Source organism: Homo sapiens, chromosome 6 (genome assembly GCF_000001405.40).
Source record: "Homo sapiens chromosome 6, GRCh38.p14 Primary Assembly".
NCBI classification, from domain to species: Eukaryota; Metazoa; Chordata; class Mammalia; order Primates; family Hominidae; genus Homo; species Homo sapiens.
The window spans coordinates 92,564,948-92,581,186 of record NC_000006.12 but is presented as its reverse complement, the minus strand read 5'-3'; the positions used below and the strand labels follow the sequence as shown (position 1 = coordinate 92,581,186).

At 35.1% G+C, this 16,239-nt stretch overlaps 2 annotated features.

Moving 5' to 3' along the window:
• Nucleotides 2,852-3,690: an enhancer, noted in NCBI's record as "H3K27ac hESC enhancer chr6:93287215-93288053 (GRCh37/hg19 assembly coordinates)". NCBI's record gives its function as "activates a minimal SCP1, AML or CMV promoter by ChIP-STARR-seq in primed H9 embryonic stem cells {active_cell/tissue: H9 hESC(primed)}" and the evidence as "EXISTENCE:reporter gene assay evidence [ECO:0000049][PMID:30033119]".
• Nucleotides 3,691-4,530: an enhancer, noted in NCBI's record as "H3K27ac hESC enhancer chr6:93286375-93287214 (GRCh37/hg19 assembly coordinates)". NCBI's record gives its function as "activates a minimal SCP1, AML or CMV promoter by ChIP-STARR-seq in primed H9 embryonic stem cells {active_cell/tissue: H9 hESC(primed)}" and the evidence as "EXISTENCE:reporter gene assay evidence [ECO:0000049][PMID:30033119]".

Here is a 16,239-nt window from a genome sequence, read left to right as displayed (position 1 = left end):
AGGATGGTCTCAATCTCCTGACATCATGATCCACCCACCTTGGCCTCCCAAAGTGCTGGGATTACAGGCATGAGCCACCACACCCTGCTCATCTTTGTTTTTTTACTTAGGATTGCCTTGGATATTTGGGCTCTTTTTTGATTCCACATGAATTTTAAAATAAGTTTTTCTAGTCTGTGAAGAATGTCAGTGGTAGTTTAATAGCACTGAATCTATAAATTGCTTTGGGCAGTATAGTCATTTTCACAATATTGCATTTATATTCATGAAGGATATTGGCTTGAAGTTTTCCTTTTTGTTGTTGTATTTCTGCCAGGCTTTGGTATCAGAATGATGCTGATCTCATAAAATGAGTTAAACAAGAGTCTCTTTTTTTTTATTTTTTGGAATAATTTCAGTAGGAATGATACCAGCTCTTGTTTGCACCTCTGGTAGAATTCAGCTGTGAATCCATCTGGTCCCGGGCTTTTTTGGTAGGTAGTTTTGGTAGGTAGTCTTTTTTTTCTGGTTCAGTGTTGTGAGGCTGTATGTGTCCAGGAATTTGTCCATTTTTTCTAGATTTTCTGGTTTATATGTGCATAGGGGTGTTTATAGTATTCTCTGATGGTTGTTTGTATTTCTATGGAGTCAGTGGTGATATCCCCCTTATCATTTCTGATTGTGGTTATTTGAACACAACCAATTTGGAAATTTCAAAACCAATCTCTCTTTTCTTCTTTATTAGTCTAGCTAGCGATCTATTTTATTTTATTTTATTTTTTTCAAAAAAACTTCTCCTGGATTAATTGATTGTTTGAAGGGTTTTTCATATCTCTATCTCCTTCAGTTCAGCTCTTATCTTGTTTATTTCTTGTCTTCTGCTAGTTTTGGGGTTTGTTGCTCTTGCTTCTCTAGTTCTTTTAGTTATGATGTTAGGTTGTTAACTTGAGCTCTTTCTAGCTTTTTGATGTGGGCATTTAGTGCTATAAATTTTCCTGTTAACAGTGCTTTAGCTGTGTCCCAGAGATTCTGGTTTATTCTATCTTTGTTCTCCTTAGTTTCAAATAACTTCATGATTTCTGCCTTAATTTCATTATTTACCCATAAGTCATTCAGGAACACGTTGTTCAATTTCCATGTATTTATACAGTTTTGAGTAAATTCCTTAATATTGAGTTCTAATTTGATTGCACTGTGTTCTGAGAGATTGCTTTTATTATTTCAGTTCTTTTGCATTTGATGAGGAGTATTTTAGTTATGATTATGTTATCAATTTTACAGTAAGCATTATGTGGTGACAAGAAGAATGTATATACTGTTATTTTGGGGTGGAGAGTTCTGTAGATATCTATCAGATCCATTTGATCCAGAGCTGAGTTCAGGTCCTGAAAATCTTTGTTGATTTTCTGCCTTGATGAACCATTTATCATTGTCTGTGGGGTGTTAAAGTCTCCCACTATTATTGTTTGGGAATCTAAGTCTCTTTGAAGGTCTCTAAGAACTTTCTGTATGAATCTGGGTATTCCTGTATTAGTTGCATATATTTAAGATAGTTAGCTTTTCTTGTTGAATTAAACCCTTTACCATTATATAATGCCCTTCTTTGTCTTTTATCATCTTTGTTGGCTTAAAGTCTGTTTTGTCAGAAATTAGGATTTCAACCTCTGCTTCTTTCTGCTTTCTATTTGCTTGGTAAATTTTTCTCTATCTTTTCATTTTGAGCCTGTGTGTGTCTTTGCATATGAGATGGGTCTCTTGAAGACAGTATTCCAGTGGGTCTTGGTTCTTGATCCAGCTACCATTCTGTGTCTTTTAATTGGGGCAGGGGCATTTAGCCCATTTACATTTAAGGTTAGTATTGTTATGTGTCTTTTTGGTCCTGTCATCATGATGCCAGCTGGTTAGTTTGCAGAATTGCTTTTGTGGTTGCTGCATAGTGTCACTGATCTGTGTACTTCAGTGTGTTTTTGTAGTGGCTGGTAATGGATTTTCCTTTCCATATTTAATATGCTTCCTTCAGGAGCCTTTGCAAGGTAGGTCTGATGGTAATGAATTCCCTCAGCATTTCCTTGTCTGAAAAGGGTCCTATTTCTCTTTTGCTTACAAAGCTTAGTTTTGCTGGATATGAAATTCTCAGTTGCAAATATTTTTCTTTAAGAATGCTGAATGTTGACCTCGAATCTCTTCTGGCTTGTAGGGTTTCTGCTGAGAGGTCCACTATATCTGATGAACTTTCCTTTGAAGGTGACATGGACTTTCTCTCTGACTACTCTTCAATTTTTTTCTTTCATTTTGACCTTAGAGAATCTGATTATTACCAGTCTTGGGAGATGATCTTTTCATGGAGTTCACTGGGGTTCTCTGCATTTCCTGAATTTAAATGTTGGCCTGTCTTGCTAGGTTGGGAAAGTTCTAGATGATATCCTGAAGTATGTTTTCCAAATTGGTTTCATTCTCCCTGTCTTTTTCAGGTACCCTAATTAGTTGTAGATTTGGTCTCTTTACATAGTCCTATATTTCTCGGAGTTTTCGTTCATTCCCTTTATTCTTTTTTCTCTTTTCTTGTCTGCCTGTCTTATTTCAGAAAGATAGTCTTCAAGCTCTGAGATTCTGTCCTCCACTTGGTCGATTTTGCTATTAATACTTGTGATTGCATTGCGAAGTTTTTGTAGTGTGTTTCTCAGCTATATCAAGTAAGTTATGTTCCTCTGTATACTGATTATTTTGACTGTCATCTCTTGCATTGCTTTATCATGATTCCTAGCTTCTTTGCATTGGGGAAATATGTTCCATTAGCACAGAAAAGTTTGTTTTTGTCTGCATTCTGAAGCCTACTTCTAATTTTTCAGCCACATCAGCCTCAGCCCACTTCTGAGCCCTTGCTTAAGATGTGTTGCAGTCATTTGCAGGAAAAGGCACACTCTGGCTTGTTGAGTTATCAGCATGTTTGCATTGATTCTTTGCCATCTTTGTATGCTTATCTACCTTTGATCTTTGAGGTTGCTGACCCTGAATGGGTTTTTGTTGTTGTTGCTGTTTTCTATTTGTTTGTTTCTCTTTTAGCAGTCTGGCCACTTTTCTGTAGTGCTGCTGTGATTGGCTGGGGTGTCTGTTTTGGACCCTAGTCATCTCCAGTACCTGGAGCTATCACTAGTACAAGCTGTGAACAGCAAAGATGGCAGCCTGCCCCTTCCTCTGGAAGCTTTGTTCCAGGGAGGTACTGACCTGTTGCCAGCCTGAACATGCCTGTAGGAGGTGGCTGGAGACCCCAATTAGGAGATCTCACCCAGTCAGGGGGAATGGGATCAGGGACTTCCTTAAAGAAGCAGTCGAGCAGTTTTGGTAGAGCAGCTGTGCTGTGTTGGGTTCAACCTCCAATTTCGGGGAGCTGTCTAAGGCTCACAGGCTGGATCATCTGAGGTGCCCGAACAGCCAGGGTTGTAGCCTGTGCTGCCCCCTGGGCACTCCAACACAGGGAAAAATTAGAACTCTGGCAGCCATAGAACATAAGCTGGGCTGGCTAGAAGCCTGCCGCTGGGAAGACACACTGAGTGAGGAGGAATGAATCTAGATCCCTCTTAAAGCAGTCTGGCCACACTTGGACAAAACAGCTGAGTCGTGCTGGGTAACTGCCTCTGCCTCTATTGGCTTGGACTCTCCAAAGCCTGCAGACTGGAATGGCTGAGTCATCCAAAGGATCAAAGAGGTGGTACATCCCCTTCCCCCCAGGACTACATTCCAGGGAGAGATCAGAGCTCTGTTTGCAGCATATGGTCAGGAATGGCTGGCAGTCCCAGCTGGGAGGTCCCCCCCATTGAAGAGGAATGGATTGGGATCCTGCTTTAAGAAACAATCTGGCCACATTCTGGCAAAGCAGCTGTGCTGCAGTGGTAGAACCCTTCCTCCTCTGGACTGTTTGCACTGTCCAAAGCCCACAGGTAGAAATGGCTGAGTTGACCATACAGCAGAGAGGGTGGCCTGCCCCTGTCCCCAGGGGCTCTGTCTCAGGCAGGCTCCACCCTGTTGTCAGTGGCTGGCTGGAATTCCAAGCCAGTGGGTCTTATCTTGTGAGGTGCCATGAAAGTGGGGCCTGCAGAACTGTGTTGCTTGGGCCCCCTGGACTTATCCCCCTTCATAGAGGAGAGTAGGAACCTCCCACCTTGCCAGGGATATTGGGGCTGGAGTATGTAAAACTCCTGGGTCTCTGTGCATGCCTGAGCAGCTGCTCTGCCAAGATTCTACACAACTCTGTGTTGGACCAAGGCCCTAGTGATGTGGGCTCATGAGGGTATCTCCTGACCCAGGGTTGCAAAGATCCGTGGGGGAAGCATGGCTTGCCAGGGCTGCACAATCACTCACTGCTTTCCTTAGCTGGGGTGGGGGTTCCCTTGGCTTCATGTCGCTTCCAGGTGTGCTGATGCCCACCTTGCTTTTCTTTATTCTGTGTGGGTCGAGTTGTTTCCCTTATTAGTCCCATTGTGAGTACCTGGATATTTTAGTTGAAGGTGCTGTTTTCACTTGTTCCTTCATTCCTCTCCACGAGTGCTACAGACCACAGCTGTTTGTAATCAGCCATCTTGCCCATTATCCCCATTTGATTTTAAGTAGTTTAGATTTTGGATAATAAAGTTCTGAACCCTGTATTTTTGGCCTAATATTTTCCATGTCATTGAAATGATTAAGTATTACTTAATAGCTGGGTTATAGCCTCTCTTAGAGATGCATCACAAATTTTAAACTATTTCTTCTATATAATCAAGCTTGTTCTAGGTTTTGATCATGAATAATTTTATGTTGAACAATTGTCACAGAGATTTGTCCAAATTTCTGATAATTTCTTTAGTATAGCTTCCTAGAAATGCAATCATTGGATTCAACACTATGAATGTGACCTCTGTACATAATTAACCTAGTAGTATGTTTCTGTATGGTTGTTAGTGTTAAGTGGGGAGTTTGATTATAAGACTTACTGTAGAGGAGAAGTGATAATCACAAGAATATAAACATTCATGCTTTTCATAAGGTTGAAATGAAGAAAATAAATGCTGAGTAATTGTGTAGATTTTTCAGGTAGTAGGCTCTAACTGGAATCATTTTTCTAATCTCCAAATGGAGGACATGGTTGTCTGGTGCCTGATATCCCAGTAAAATATTTTTAAAGTAAACAAAATAGTGAATTGCAGGGTTTGCTTCTTAGAAGTTCCATCAATATAGTAAAATTGATTCTACATGGGACATGAACAAAGAACAGTAAGTCTGCAGCTGTCTATCTCTGTTATCACCCAGAAGAAATACTAGACTGGAGTATGCACTCAAATAGTTCTCCATCAATAACAGTTTCCTAACCAGGCTTTCTATGGAGATTGAACAGCAGTGAATTCTGATTGCAAAAAAGAGCAATATAGTCTGTGCGAAATGGAAGAAGAGTTAAAACTTTCTTTTAAAAAGCATAGTACAAACTTAACCATCCAATGCACTTGATAGGGTGACTACTCGGAAGAAAGAAGCAGACCAAGTTAGTACATGTATGAAGAACAAAACTACTGGCAAATCTGTTCTAAATTCACAGTAGCTCACCAGCATAGGGAAGAAAAAAAAGCTGTGAATTTGTGTGTCATTAGAAAATCCGTAATAATTATAGTCTGAAAATCATGAAATTATGTTAACTATAGTCAGAAAAATCTGTTTAGCATTCATTGTATTTTTCCATTTAATCAATATGGTTTTTATTAAATTCTATACAGTTGTTCTCCTCAGAAACTGAATGATTGGATCAGTTGAATAGCTTCCGCTAAACATAATTTTGGATTAAGAGTAGTTGATCTGGATCCATTATGATAGAATTCAATTCAGTAAAAGAAATTCAATAAGTGCCCCACCTCCACCCCTGAAAAAATTCTGCAGCTCTTTCATAATCTAGGCTTGACTCTAATTAGAAGAGATGAGGCTTCCCTTTATGCCTTTGGCCTGATAATAAAGCCATATAGGCAGCATAAACAGAAACTTTTATATTCTTTACTTTTCAAGTCAGGCTGGAGAGCCCCACATTTACTAAAAGCAGCATGAAACCAGGCCAAGCCATTAGGCAGCCCATGAGGGGAGGAGCTTTGTCCCTAATGTCTACAGTGTGTCTGTTACTAGTCCCAGAAACATAGTAGCATGTGTTAGTTTTATTAAAGTTACATTTTAATACAAAATTTGGGTTGAAAAAAAAATAAAGTCTCCAAAACTATTCCTGTGATGGTGTTATTTGACCGTTACTACTAATATTGACTCTTAACGCTGGTATTAAATCCCTGTTCTAACCACCAAGAATCACAGATTAGAACTGAATTAACTTTCATTAATGCAATACTAAAGTCCTCAGAAAACTTATCAAATCTCCAAACATTTTATGATGTCCATTAAGAGCTTTCTGCACAAGGTTTTGGAAAACACGGGGATTGTCAGACGAGAAGATACTATAGATTAACTCTCTCTGTTCCTCAAGTGAACTATTGACCCAGATAATATACGACTTTATCAATAGACTCAGACTTAAAGTAAATTAACTGAATTTTATTATCTAGAAAGAAAAGTTTCCCTGTTAAATAATCCATATAGGCAAAATTGTATACTTCCTAATAATGGGGGTAATGATTACCTCCTTTACCATTCATTATATCGTCAACGCATGGGTCAGTCCCTAGGATGCAGTAGGCATCCAGTAAGTATTTGTTGAATAAATGACAAAATATATGTAAGTACTTTAAAGTTTTGGAAGATTGACAAATTGATGAAGATCGGAAGAGCTCATCATTTGCCTTAAGCAAATTGATGACAGCAACTTTTGCACTAGTTTTAGAAGCAGGGTGTTATTTTGAACTTATTTGCATAACTTTGATCAGTAATGCAGATAAACTTTCTGTATATTAGAAAGTTACGTTTCCCTTTCTTTGGAATTACTCTTAGTGACTTTTGCCAGTATTCCTTAAGAAGTTCTTGGCAATATTTTAATCAATTTGTATGTTGTATTTACACAATTACACTTTCAAATCTTTTTTTTTGTTTTATCAGTGTTGATATTACCTTAGTTTAAAAGTCTTCACATGAATACAGGTATACGTTTGTTTTTGCAAAATGTATCTATATTTCTTTTAAGAACTCTTTAAATATGTGTATACTTAGAAAGTATTTAGTTCTAAATATAGTTTGAATATTTTTCTATGTTTTTTCTAATTATTTTTAGTTTAACTTATTTGGTTTTGAATATTTAATTCACCTTGAATTTGTTTTGGTTTTTATTCATAATCCTTGCCTGGCATATTAAAATAGCAATTTATCAAAATATCTGCTTTGTTTCTTCTCCCTTTAAATGTGTCCCCTGTCATGCTAACAAAGTGAACTTTCTAGATTATAGTGCTTATCATTTCTTCCTATTCTATAATGTATTTTCAACAGTCTAAAGTGCCTTAAGATTTAAAGCAAGACCATTCTGAAGATAGACCCTACTAACTGCCCAGCCATGTTTCCCCTGATTCCCTTTACATAAATATCTCTTGAAAACATTAAAGGTTTATTATTAAATATATTTTGCTGTTTCAAACTTTCATGTTGCATCAGTCTGTAAAAGAAAATGTTATCATGTATTAGTCTGTTTTTATGCTGCTGATAAAGACATACTGGAGACTGGACAATTTACATAGGAAAGAGGTTTAATGGAGAACTCACAGTTCCATGTGGCTATGGAAGCCTCACAATTGTGACAGAAGGAAAGGAGGAGCAAGTTACATCTTACGTGGATGGTGGCAGGTAAAGAGAAGACAGCTTGTTCAGGGAAACTTCCATTTTTAAAACCATAACATCTCGTGAGACTCATTCACTATCATGAGAACATTGCAGGAAAGCTTCCACCAATAATTCAATCACCTCCCACTGGATTCTTCCCACAACAAGCGGGAATTGTGGGAATTACAATTCAAGATAAGACTTGGGTGGAGACACAGCCAAACCATATCATATGTTTTTTGAATCATTATCTGGTCATAGCTAAAAATTCAGAAAAAATTACAAAGAAATATAACTGGATTTGTTATTTTAAAAATTTCTGAACAGTTAGAATGCACTTAGAGTAACATTTACATTATAGTATAAAACATATTAAAAAGGGTTTATTATGAGGGCAAAATCATATTTTTATAGTTCTATTTGCTTTTGAGAATAGCATCTTTTACAACACAAATTTAGTTTGTTTAGAAGACCAAAACACAAATATTCTGGCTAGAGTAAAGAAACACATTCAATGCTACATCTCATGAATATTGACATACAGAATGAATTAAAATTGACCTGGATCTGAGAACTGTCACATGGGTAGTGAGCTGGCTAAACATGTATAAACATAAGATAATGATAAATGGCAAAATATCAAGATAAAAAGAGCTGCATGTTGGACTACCATAGAGATAAGATTTAGAAAGTTCTTAAATTTAGGACAGATTAATGATGTTCAAACTAGATAGATATTTTGATAAATTATATCAAATTTCACAGCTTATTAACTGGAATATGTTATTAAAAGTTTCATAAAGACATAGATGTAAATATGAAATAAACAACTGTGACAGAAATATTAAAAGAATAAACAATAAGAATGTAATATAACTAATTTTTTAATACAATAACTCACTTTGTTTATTACTATCTATGAATAGCGATAAAATATATTAGATGCTGGCTCCAAAAATGCTGGCAAAAACTTTAATCTGTTACTTTAGACCACAAAAGCACTCAAGTTAAAAATGAGTGCAGAAGTTTATAGGTAGCATGTAGATGCATTTTCTACATTTCCCCATCCTTCGCTACAAAGACATAATTTAGATGAAATAGTGTTTTATTTGCCAATTCGATGTTGCAATACATTATAGTTCAATGCATAAATGTATAAAATTTATATATTTTGTGCAATGTATGAAAATTAACAGTAACTAATACATATCTGCATTATATTTGACCAGAATAGAAGCTCTAATATTTAAATTACCTAATGGGAAAATCCTTTGCTAAAAAAGAACTACTCTATAACTTGTTTATGGCTGAATTTTTAATTTTTTTTGTAGCCCTGAGTAAAACAGAAAAAAAGAATTGATATAAACCAAAAAATTACTTTGGCTCTTGCCTGGAGTTGACCCTTATAGACACATAATCATTAATTCTGAGTTCACAAAATTCCAAACCTAAAGTCCACAAATATTTTAACTAAAAAAAAAAAGACTAAAACTAAAGTGATTTAAAAGTGAACAAAAAGTTTAAGTAATTATTTCTTTTTTATCATTCCACCAATATATTCCAATTTTATATTTGAAATTTGAAATTAACAATCTAATTTATATAATGTGTTATGTTATTTTCATTAGTTGAATTTATTCTACAGAAATAAAGTTGGTATCTGTCTTCTTTTTCATCTAGGTTGTTTTATCAGTACAAACCTCTGATTTAAACCTTATGCTACCTCCCCATGCAGTCACAGTCAGTTGACCCTAACTTGATATTTGCATATTAGCACATTCGGAGATAAATAACAGCAGTTTTCTTTTTTTGTCAACATAATGCACAAATTATTAGATGAGCCTTATTTTCTCTATCAAGTTCCAGGAAGTACATAGCCACAGAGAGAATGTTTCCAAAGTACAGGATAATTAGTATGTTAGTAATAATAACCACCAGAATGTGCTTAGATTTACTATGCCATAGAACCTCTTCTATTTTCTATGCACATATATTATAGCATTTGACATTTCCAGAAAACTCAATGGAATGTTGTAATTTTTTCCTACATGTTGTTCATGGTCACACAGCAACTGAATAGTGCATCTTAGATTTTCAAGCATGCCTACTTAATTTGAAAGTTATGCCATTCCTCATACATGTCATTCATTAATTCTGTTCATTTGTCCATGGACATTTTAATTAGAATGTCATTATATTATATGTGAAAATTAAAATTTTCTCTTCTTTCGTAGCTGAAATTGTAAACAGAGTTTCCAGCAGTTTTTCGTCATATTCTAATATAATTTACTTTGATATTAATTGTCATTTATTGTTTAAACTCCTCCTCCAGGTGAGGGTATATCTTGACTTCAAATTGCAATCTTGCAGGAACAGGTGAGTAGAGTTGCCAGGTATAGAAAACACTATCCTGATTATTCTCCAAAAAGGTAAACTTTTCATATTAGTTCAGTAGAGACACAAAGAATCAGGATGAAACTCCAAAGCCGCAGCCTAAAGTGACTTAGCTAGGAACTATGGACAAAGGCAACTCTTTGCCCTCTGACTGCACTGAATAGAACTGGTTCATGCCATATTGCTTCAATTATTAAAAAGCGACAAAATTTTAAAAATATTTTACATTGTGATCTCCTTTCCATGAAAGTAAGAGACTGTCAATATATTGCTCATTGATACTTAAGTGGGTATAATTTCATGTTAGGGCTCAAAGGAAAACAATTTTAATTATAACAAACAGTATTTCTCAAGCTAGTATTTTAATTGTTTATCTAAGTAACAAGTCATAGTACTTGAAATGCAGAAATGAATCCTGGGCTGGTAATATGGTTTGGCTCTGTGTCTTCATCCAAATCTCATTTTGTAGCTCCCAGGATTCCTACATGTTGTGAGGGGGACACGGTGGGAGATGATTGAATCATGGGGGCAGGTTTTTCCCATGCTGCTCTAGTAATAGTGAATGGGTCTCATGAGATCTGATGGCTTTAAAAGCGAGAGTTTCTCTGCACAAGCTCTCTCTTGGCCTGCTGCCATCCATGTAAGATGTGACTTGCTCCCTCCTTGCTTCCCACCATGATTGTGAGGCTTCCCCAGTCAGGAGGAACTGTAAGTCCAATAAGCCCCCTTTTCCTGTATAAATTACCCAGTCTTGGGTAAGTCTTTATCAGCAGTGTGAAAATGAACTAATACAGCTCGTTTGGATGTATGCACATCAACACTTAAACCAACAACCCTGTATCCAGAGTAGCAAAATATGTTGTTTCTTGGAAAATTAGGGGAGCATTAACTAGCAGTCAAATATTTAAATAGAAATATGACTTAGCAGCCAATAGTATATAAACAATGGAGTATCTAACTACATAATACTATTTACAGATGCACTTACAAACATGTTTCAAAATTTATAAGGACTGATTCTAAATAGAGCATTTTAAATGAGTAGATGGAAACAATAATTTTATTTTAGGTTAACTTTGCCATTTTTTAAAAAAAGTATGGATATTTCAGAAAATGTTAAGTACTCTCCAGTGAAAGATAGTTAATATTGAAAAAAAAATTATGACAGTATATTTACATAACCAGAAAGAACAATAAAGAGATTTGATCTAAGCATATCTGTAAAGTTAAGAGAATATTTGTTCACATATTGTGTTATCAGTGGTGCTGCCAAACATAAATACCCAAATTATTAGTTTGTTTTGGAAACTATTAGGATTTCATTGCTATTTTATAAAATTGAATTATTTAAAGAAGAAAACTTACTCTACCTGAGTACCCTTAAATGCTATCAGTTTATAAAAGAGTCTCTAATAAAACCACTAAGTCTCTCACAATGACAGATATTATTTATGAACAATACATCTAGAATATAGCTCTATTTCTTGAATATAAGTTCATCAGAATGAAATTCAATATTGACAAATCATATAAGAACATAATTAATAAATCAATTTAATTCTAAAGCATTGGTATTTTTCTATGTATAGAAGTGAAAGTTTTTTTCCAATAGAGAAATGTTTGTTCTCAGAAAAATTTACTAAATGCTATATTGCTAGTTAAAATTTGAGTTTCCTTTCTAATAGAGGGGTTAATTTCCCTTCATGGGAAATACATACACTAAAAATGTTATATATACACAAGTAGGTAGGCATACACACACATAGATATATTTTTTGTTGTGATGAAATGACTTATTTCAGTCTTACCAAAATCAGGGTCTTCATAAATACTTCTAAAAATATCTTTAGCTATTTTAGATACAGTGTTTAGGAAAAGTACTTGCTTTTAGTGTTAAGCTTTTTAATTTTCCTCCATCAATAATAGATAATCAATTTGAACCAATTTTCTTCTTTTCTAATGCATTTATTTAGCAGTGATTTATGCGCTCATACCAAACAATTCAGCCAAAGCAACTTCCACCCCTGAGCATTAAACATTTGATCAATATAAGAATTCCATTGTAGAAAATAGTGTTAAAAGTTTATTCATTCAGTGCACTCTTTAGAGATGATTAACTGTCTTTATTATATTAAAGCAAACCCAAAGCCATCTGCCAAAGGCGATTGTGTCCAAGCACTGAAACCATTTCATGTGAAAACTCATTTTCAGGCTCCTAATTATTTTTCATTATAGTGGCAGTGTGGAATAGATTGGAATTGGACAGTAATTGCCAGGTCTGAGCAGTGTGGACCATTGCAATGTATCAGTTTAGATGAAGTGTGACAAGGATACATCTAGCTACTATATAAATTCCATTAACCAACTTCCCTGTCCCTGATCATGTAACACTTCATAGAATGTGGTCAGCACAAGGTCATAATAATGGCTTTCTGACTGACTTCAAGTATTTTGTACAAGTGCAAGCTGTTAACCCCCTGTGTTAGCATTGTTCTAGTAATGTCCAGTTATTACAGTTGTCAAAAGTATCTTTTTCTGCAAGAGGGACAAGTAAACTTTTAAAAAGTATAACTTTCAAACTCAAGTATGACTTCTTTCACATGTAATGTTCTAACAGGAAAATCATACCTAAAATAAAAAAAAAATGGTTTCATATAAGATCATTTTAAGTGGTAATTACGCAAATACTAGTCAGTCAATCCAATATACTGATCATAAAAGTTCTATCCAAACAGAAAACAGACTCAAATAATTTCTGCATGTACAACCAAATAGTCGGTTTTAAAGCAAACTGAGCAGTAAAGCAGAACAGTTATATTTATAGATAAATGTTTCCATAAAGAAGTTTCTTCCACAGTGGTAACACTAGTGGAATTTTTGAGAGATTCTCAACCAGGGGAGCTTGCCCTGCAAAGGTGACATTTGACAATGCCTGGAGACATTTTTGGTTGTCACAGTAAAAGGAGTATTAATAGTATCTTGTGTGTAATTTTCAAGGATGCTGCTGAACGTCCTACAATACACAGGACAGTTCACCACAAAAAAAGACAATAGAGAATTATTTGCCTAAAATAACAGTGTTAAGATTGAGAAACCCTAAAATATGTGTGTTAAGTTACTTTCTATTTGATTTCCTGATCTCTTAAATGTAAAAAGTCTTATTTCTTTGATGATTAACTTATCTTGAATATTGCCCTCTATGGAACTTTCAGTTATCAATATTACTTATTAATAACTTTTTCATCTGTAATAAATTATATTTTACTTGACATAGCTTCGTACACACTAGAGACTGGGATTTTTGATTAATCTTTCTTTCTGTAAAATATTTTTATGGCCTTTCTGAACTAATTGTTTCATATGATCCTAGACTATACGTACACTAGCAAAAGTCTGCTGAAGAAATGAAATGCTTTCTTTTTCAGACAGAGCTGATTCAAACACATTTGAGAGAGTAGGCATTCTAATTTGATGCTTATTTTTTTAATGCCATGTAAGTGATGGGGTGAAATAATTTGCTTCAGGTCATACTGAATGTGGTGATAGAAACAGTCATGTAACTTAAATATTTAAAATATTTTTAGAATTTTCCATTTTATATATTTCTGTAATAATTGTATAGCTATGATCACATGCACCATTATACGTATTTCTTCTATATGTTTGATGTCTTAGCATATTTATTTTCTAAGTGAAAAATTTCCAATTGCTTTCAGTTTTTCAATTCCTGTATACCTTTTAGAATGGTTAATATTTTTGTAAGGGTATCACAGAGTGTTTACCTCTATATCTCTTCCACCAGGCTTCAAATCCTTTCAAAATGTTAAAGGCATCTAGAGATAATAATCTTCAAATCCATTTAAAAAGCTAGCATGCCCCATATAGTTTTATGATTTAAAATAATGTTAAAATTTGAGAAATGTCTGGTCAAATTGATAAGTGAGCATTTTTCTTATTTTTCAAACAAGCTTAACAATGTGGTTGAATTTATGCAGTTGCAACTATTTAGATAACTCATTGAGAAATGAACTATTTGAACCACTAATTGAGAAGACTAGTTTTGATGAACGAAATTGTCTAAGTTAGAGAGCCATAAATCCCTACTTTCATTTAGTATTTCTAACTCTCTCCTCGACCTTGTGCTCTGTTCTGGGCAGTCTATTATGAGTTTAATCATAGGTTATAAATATATGTCACAACTGAGCTGATTAACACGTGGGTCTACCCATGTATAGCAGAAAGGAACATGACCAAATGACCCAACTAGAGTGCTGTAGTCCGCAAAATGCTCACAGTAGACACTGTACACTATTCAGTGATGTTTAATTCTGCTTTTATTCACATAAATCTAGTCATACAACTTAAAGTAAATTATCTTTATATTATTAATGTATATCTTAGGGATATATCATTATTCTTTCTCTCTGGCTCTCACACTCATATTTATCAAGCATCTATTTGTACTGGTACTGGTTAAGCAGTTTAAAAAGACATAGTTTCTTACTTCTAGAAATCCTCAATCCATAAGATAGCAGCAATTCTGATAAGGAGAATATGACTAACAAATAGTAATAAAAAGTGAGTAAAGAGAGAGTAATGATTTAAGACAGAAAATTGATATCAATACAGTTAACCTTTGAATAATGCAGGGGTTTGGGTACCAGCCCCCACCCTGACAGTTGAAAATTCACATATAACTGTTGACTTCCCAAGAGCAAAACTACTAATAGCCTACTGTAGATCAGAAGCCTTATTGATAAAATAATCAATTAACTCACATTTTGCATGTAATATGTATAATGTATTATGTACTAGATGCTTACAATAAAGAAAGAGAAAATGATATTAAGAAAATCATAAGAAAGAGAAATTATGCTTATTTTTTAATAAGTGGAAGTAGATCTTCATCCTCGTTGTCTTCACGTTGAGTAGGCCGAGGAGGAGGAGGAAGGGAAAGGGTTGGTCTTGCTGTTTCAAGGGCACTAGAGGCAGAAAAGTTGGAGGAAGTGGAACGGGAGGCAGGAAATGGAGGCATACTTGTAACTTTACAGTAATATATCTTAATTTCTGTCTAACATTTTTCCAATTTTATTTCTCTAAAAATGTTTCTACATGATACCAAATTTTCTTCCACTGTTTGCTTTAGTTTAGACGCCTGTATTATAGAATGGTCCACATCATAAAAGAAGTAAAAACAGTCTTGAATAATCAGAATGATTCTGCCAGACTGTCTAATGTCAGTTTGTTTTCTTGCACTGCTTCTTCTGTATCTTATCACCTAGCATTCATTTGAAAGCATTTGTTTCCATCAGGCTGTCTTCTGCAAATTCCTCTGGTGTGGTGTCTATTAGTTCTTGGTGGCTTTCATGGATTTATTAATAACAATGATGATGTCTTCAATGGTTGAAATTTTCCAGACTTTCATGATGTTCTTTTCCGTAGTGTTGACAATCCTTTCCATAGAGGACCCTGTACAATGAGCCTTAAAGTTTCTTACAACCCTCTTATGTACAGGTTGGATTAGAGACATTATGTTTGGGGCAAGTAGAGCACTTTGATGCATTCAGTATTGAACTCAGTTGTCAGAGGCATTTTCCAATATCAAAATAACTTTAAAATGGAGTCCCTTACTGTCAGGCTACTTCTTGACTTCAAGGACAAAGCATTGCTGGAACCAATCCAGAAAAAAGGTCCTCATTGTTTGGACTTTCTTGTTGCATAATCAAAAGACTGGCAACTGGCGTTAATCTGTTCCCTTCAGAGCTCAGACTTAGTTGACTGAAGCTTTGGGGAAAGGGAAGTCATGAATATAAACTTCACTGCATTTGCACAAAACAGTAGGGTTAGCCTATGCTTTCCTGTCTTAAATCCTGGCGTTTGCTTCTCTTTCTTACTAATAAATATCCTCTGTGGCATTTTCCCCCCAGATTATGGCAGTACTATGTGCATTAAATACCTATTCAATTGTTTTAAAATGGCAGCATTTAAGCAACTGGCTTCACACTTCCTCTTAGAAAACCAAACCAAATATACAGTGCCAAGATTTTTACCAGCAACAGTTCAGAACTCAAATATGAGGATGAGACAGATCCCAGGAGC